We start from the raw sequence: 6,162 nt of genomic DNA on the forward strand, positions 1-6,162 counted from the left end.
CCATCAAAAAGGAGGCAAATGATATGAACAGACACTTCTCAAAAGAAGACATTTATGCGGCCAACAAACATATGAAAAAAAGCTCATCATCACTGGTCATTAGAGAAATGCAAATCAAAACCACAATTAGATACCATCTTATGCCAGTTAGAATGGCGATCATTAAAAAGTCAGGAAACAACAAATGCTGGAGAGGATGTGGAGATATAGGAACGCTTTTAACATTGTTGGTGGGAGTGTAAATTAGTTCAACCATTGTGAATTTTTATTTTTTTTATAGCAAGAACTCATGAATTTCACAAAGTGCTAAATAATATACAGGGAAAATGTATTCTCCTTCCATCCCAACTTCCAGTTCTTTTCCTCAGAATTGGCACTGTCAGTAGTTTGTTTTTTTTTCTTTTCATCCATAAAATTTACCAGAAACTTATAATTTAAAACTCATCACAGATCTCTGAGGGAGGTGATATTATTCTCAGTTTTGATGTGAGGAAAGCATTCATTGTGCCACTTTACGAAGGTGACTGAATCTCTGTGAATTTGAATGTCATTATGAAATACGAAAATTATAATAGTAACTATACTGTTGTACAGAGGAAATGCATAAAAAATGCTTAGCATAATGCGTGAGATATTTTAAATGTTTTCTAAATAATGATGATGCTAATATGACTATCATGGTATAATTAATAATTATCATTATCATTATTATTAATTATAATTAATATTTTATACAATCATTAATATATAACTATTGATACATAATTATATTTAGAATTATTAACAATTATAATTAATATTTCTCAAGGTCATTTAGAAACCTAGACTTAGTAGAGACTGCACTCAGAATACACATCCTCTGCATTTTTATATAAACAACAGCTGTACTTGTAAAAGGCTCCTGAGAAAAATTTCCGAAGATTCCTTCACTGTCTCAGACCACTGAAGCAGGCATGAGATAGCTGCTGTTAACACTTTTGTTTTCTGGGTATCTTGACCTTTTCTTGGCTTGGTTGGAGCTATCTTAAAAGAGTCAGGTGATAATTCCTCCTCCAAGAAGCCTCACCTGCTTACTCTGCTTTACCAAACTCCTCCCTTATTGGTGTACTTCTTGTCAGTACCACATTAGTCAGCATTCATGCGGTTAGGAAATGTAAAAGTAGATAAGAATTACGGGTTTTCTTGTACAAATGCATATTCCTGGGCGTGGCCCTAAACTACTGAATCTTAGGACTTCCAGGTAAGGCCCTGGGTTCACATTTTTAGCAAGCAGACTTGGTGATTTTCTGCAGGGGATCTAAGGACACTGTCTAAGCCAAACTGTTTCAATTTGACTCATGTTCTTTCAGATGTTCAAGAAACATGTAGAATACGTACTTTATTGTGAGCACTAAGGGAATGTAGATAGGTATAAGTAAGACACTATCAAGGACTTAGACTCAGGGTGGCAGAGGTGTAGGGATAATAGTAAAAAGGTAGTCAAAAGGCAATAAATGTGATGACAGGGTCAAGCACAGGTGTCCGTGGAAGCAGGCCTTGGAAAATGGTGGCCAGCAGTTTGGTTATTGCTTATTGCTTATGTAATACTCTGACAAGCGATTAATCCTAAGCTTTGTAGAGAGGATGTGGATGCACATCAAGAGGATTAAGGTAGAGAGGAGCTTGTATGTGTAACAGAGCACTGTCTGTGAGATCCATATTGTTCCCTCACCTACTATAGTAACCTGGTATAGTAACAGCTGTTTTCACTGTCTTAATTTCAGTTTACATTTGGAAAATGGGGTGAGTAGAGGTATTTAAATCATAGAAAGTACAGAATAAAACACACAAATGCTAAAACATACACACATACACTGTAAATTGACACTAAAATTCTACTTCTGGAAAGCAGTTTTTTTCTTTTTGAAAGATACTGCAAGGTTAAAGACAAAAAGAGCTGTGCACAGCAACTGTATTCTCATCGGGCATGTTTACAGTTCTGTTACTACATGTGTATATTTGTTGAACAAGCACGTAAATAAATTGTAGATAACAGTCAAGAGTCAGGTATCTCACTGTCGGAGAAAGAAGTTAAAAGGGGAAAAGCTAGAGTGAATTTAGTGGTATTGGGTTGGAATTGGAGGATTATGAACTCATGGTTCTAATATATATATGTGTATACACACACATGTTTATATGTGTTTATATAAATATATATAGATATTTATGTACACATGCATTTATTTTGTAGCTTTGGCCACAGAGAGAACTTAAGCAATGTTATTCAAGTGGTAGTGAACATCCCTATCACTAAGTTCTTGGCTTCTAGGTGCCATTCTCCAATAAAAAGAACCAGGACATGGCAGGGTGCTGTGGCTTATGCCTGTAATCCTAGCACTTTGGGAGGCTGAGGTGGGCAGATTGTCTGAGCTCAGGAGTTAGAGACCAGCCTGGGCAACATGATGAAAACTCATCTCTACTAAAATACAAAACATTAGCTGGGCACAGAGGTGTGTGCATGTAGTCCCAGCTACTTGGGAGGCTGAGGCAGGAGAACTGCTTGAACCTGGGAGGCAGAGGTTGCAGTGAGCCAAGGTCACATCACTGCACTCCAGTCTGGGTGACAGAATGAGTCTCAAAAAAAAAAAAAAAAAAAAAGAGAACCAGGACTCCTTGAAGAAGTGGTGGTTTATTCCAGGGCTGGGTCAAGAAAAATGTGAGGCGAGGAGCCTGGAATATCTTTCTTGTGATACCAGAAAATAAGAACCTACTCAGAAAAGGATGGAGCATGTTGAAATGACATGGGTGCTTACTGTAAGGACTTCCCAATGGCCAAAGCTAGAACAATTTAAGCAACAAAATAAATGAGGATAGTATTGTATTATTACTCATAGAATAAAGTAAATGTCCCTAAATCCATAGTGTCATAAACAAATAACTGGATAAATAAATATAAGGGGGAGATGGAATAGCTCTATCTTACAGAAGAATTCAATTAATAATGAAGAAATGAGAAAAATACAAAATCTCCTTTAGGCAAATACCATAGCAATAATTATTACAGGCATAAGCTACTGACAGATATAAAAACTAGTAGGTAAAAGTTTGAGAAGAAACAATATATTATTATTATTTTCAAACTATCTCTCCCAGGATATTTATCAATTTCAAATGAAAACTATTAACTTTAACAAAACTCAGCAGACATCACCTTAACCAAATGCTCAAGGCTCATATCACCAATAAGTCATTTTGATATCAAATTACCCTGATGTGATGAACCAGGAAGAGTATATCACTTTTGTCATATTTTTGCCAAAAATTTATAACCTCAAACCTCAAAAAGGAATCATGAGGAAGTGTCAGACAAACCCAAATTGAGAGATACTCTACAAAATAACTGAGCGTTACACGTTAAACATATTGAAGTCATGTTAAATTGCTAAAGGAGTTTATTTTAAGAGTTCTCATGACAAAAAAATAAGTATGTGAGCTAATGGGCAGGTTAGTTGATTTAGCCAGTCCAAAATGTATACATATTTCCAAACATCATGTTGTACATCATAAATATATACAGTATTTTTAAATAATTTTTTTATTTGTGCAAATTTAAGAGGTATAAGTACAGTTTTGTTACATGGATATATTGTATAGTGATGAAGTCTAGGCTTTCAGTGTAACTATCACCTGAATAATGCACTTTGTAAACATTAAGTTATTTCTCATCCCTTTATTGTGTATATTTGAGGTTTACAACATGATGTTATAAGTATAGATAGTAAAATGCTTACTACAGTGAACCAAGTTAATGTATCTATTATTGCACATAGATAATTTTTGTAATGAGCAGCTAATATCTACTTAACAAAGATCTCTAATACAATACACTTTTATTAACTATAGTGTTCTATAGTGTTCATATTGTATCTTATATATCTAGATTTGTTTATTCTACAAATCTGCTACTTTAAATCCTTTGACCTATAGCTCTTCATTTTCTTTCCTGATCCTCTGCCGCTGGTAACCACTGCTTTTATTCTCTATCTCTGTATATTTGACCTTTAAAAAATGTGTAGATTCTGCATACAAATGAAATCATGCAATATTTTTTTTCTGTGTCTGGTTATTTTACTTAGTATGATGTTGTCTGGGTTCATCCATGTTGTGGCAAAAGGCAGGATATTCTTTTTAAAGGCTGAATAATATTCCATTGTGTATATGTATACATACAAACACATATACATATAATCCATATGTGTATATACACACATATGCATACATACAGTGGAATCATACATGTATATGTATGTATGTATGTATATTATGTATATGTGTATATATGTATATGTGTGTGTGTCTGTGTGTATATATATATATATATATATGTATACGCATACATACCTACACCACACAATTTCTTTATCCATTTGTCAGCAGACACTGAGATTATTTTCATATCTTGGCTACTGTGAAAAATGCTGCAGTGAACATGGGAGCATGATATTTTTATGAGGTGGTGATTTCATCTCCTTTGGGTGTATAACCAGAAGTGGGATCACTGGGTCAAATGGCAATTCTATTTTCAATTTCTTTAGGAGCCTCCACGTTGTTTTCTGTAATGGTTACCCACATCTACATTCCTACTAACAGTGTACATGAGTTCCCTTTTCTCCACATCTTTCCCAACATTTATTATCTCTTATCTCCTGGATAATAGCTATCCTAATGTGAGTAAGATGATCTCTCCTAGTGGCTTTAATATGCATTTCCCTGATGATTAGTGATGTTGCACTCCATTTCATATTCCTGTTGACTATTTGTATGTCTTCTTTGGAGGAATTTCTGTTCAGGTCCTTTGCCCATTTTTAATTGGATTATAATATATATTTCTTATCAATATAAAAATTAAAAAGTACATTATCCATTTGTATGTACTTATTGCCATTACTGTGGGAATATTGTATCTAGAAATACAGAAAGAAAATACCATGTTACATCAATTCATTGTATGTAATCAGTGTTATGAATTGCTGATAAAGTATGTGAAATATAAAAAATTATAAACATCAAATTCATAAAATACAATGAAAGAATAAGATATTGTCATAGACTGAAAAAGACTAAAACATAGCAAATAAGTGCAATGTAGAATTCTAGATTATACTCTGGAACAGAAAAAGGACATTGGGGGAAAGCTGGTCAGACTTGAATTATTTATATGTTAATTTCCTGATTTTGATAATTGAATTATGGTTAAGTTGTTAACATTAAGAATGTAAACACTTTTTACTATTTTTGTAACTCTTCTGTAAGTCTAAAATTTTTTAAAAATGGAAAGTTTAAAGAAAGAAAAAAAATACCTAATCCGATTGCCTTGTTTACAGTGCCTGGCATATGACAGGAGCTTACTACATGCTTGTAGGATTGTTTTGCCACCATGTCCTTGATCAACCAGTTCCCCCACTTGGGGTGCTGTTCTCTCACCCACTGTCTACTTCTCATCTGCCAATGAAGTAGATAGTAATATTTTGGGTACTCCCTTCATATTATGATTTTTGTGTGTGGCCATGAATTATGCTGGTGTGAACTGCTGCTCAGTGCCAACAGCATTCTGGAGAAGGAAGCACTCGAGAAGACACAAGGTAGATGGAGATTGAGAGGCCACTATGATGTCCTTCAGGTACAGTGTAGGTTCTCTTGGGGTCTTAGGGAGCAGAGCCTTGACTCCACCATTTTACAGGCACATGTGCTGCTTTGCACACCCCAGATAGGGGGCAGCAGACAACAGGGAATGATGCCTAGGAGGCTATGGTAAGTGGGTGGCTGGTAAGTTCCTGGGAGCTGTCCATGGTTTTGAGATGTCTCTGGTACCCAAACCGCTCAAGACATTGCTGTAGGTGAGCTTAGATTTTTGTTTTGACGCTTAGGGTACAAAACACTGTGGAGAAGGTGTGTGTATGTGTGTGTGTGTTTCTATTTGAAAAGCCAAGCTCCAAAAAACTGCATCATCCTGGAAGGTAAAGCAAACTCACTGCAGGGGCTTGCACATGTAGTGATTTAGGCCCCAGGTAGTCAACACTTTTTCTTACAATAGGTTTTGTGTGAAGTGTAATTCCAAGTCTACTTGCATCACAATTTTCTTGGAGCTTGTTAAAAATACAATTTCCAAGCTTTGCTTTACCA

General features: G+C 35.2%; 1 annotated feature.

Annotated features, from left to right (window-relative positions):
- Positions 5,700 to 5,849: a silencer, noted in NCBI's record as "silent region_13651". NCBI's record gives its function as "represses an Ori minimal core promoter by ATAC-STARR-seq in GM12878 lymphoblastoid cells {active_cell/tissue: GM12878}" and the evidence as "EXISTENCE:reporter gene assay evidence [ECO:0000049][PMID:35858748]".

Source organism: Homo sapiens, chromosome 22 (assembly GCF_000001405.40).
Source record: "Homo sapiens chromosome 22, GRCh38.p14 Primary Assembly".
NCBI classification, from domain to species: domain Eukaryota; kingdom Metazoa; phylum Chordata; class Mammalia; order Primates; family Hominidae; genus Homo; species Homo sapiens.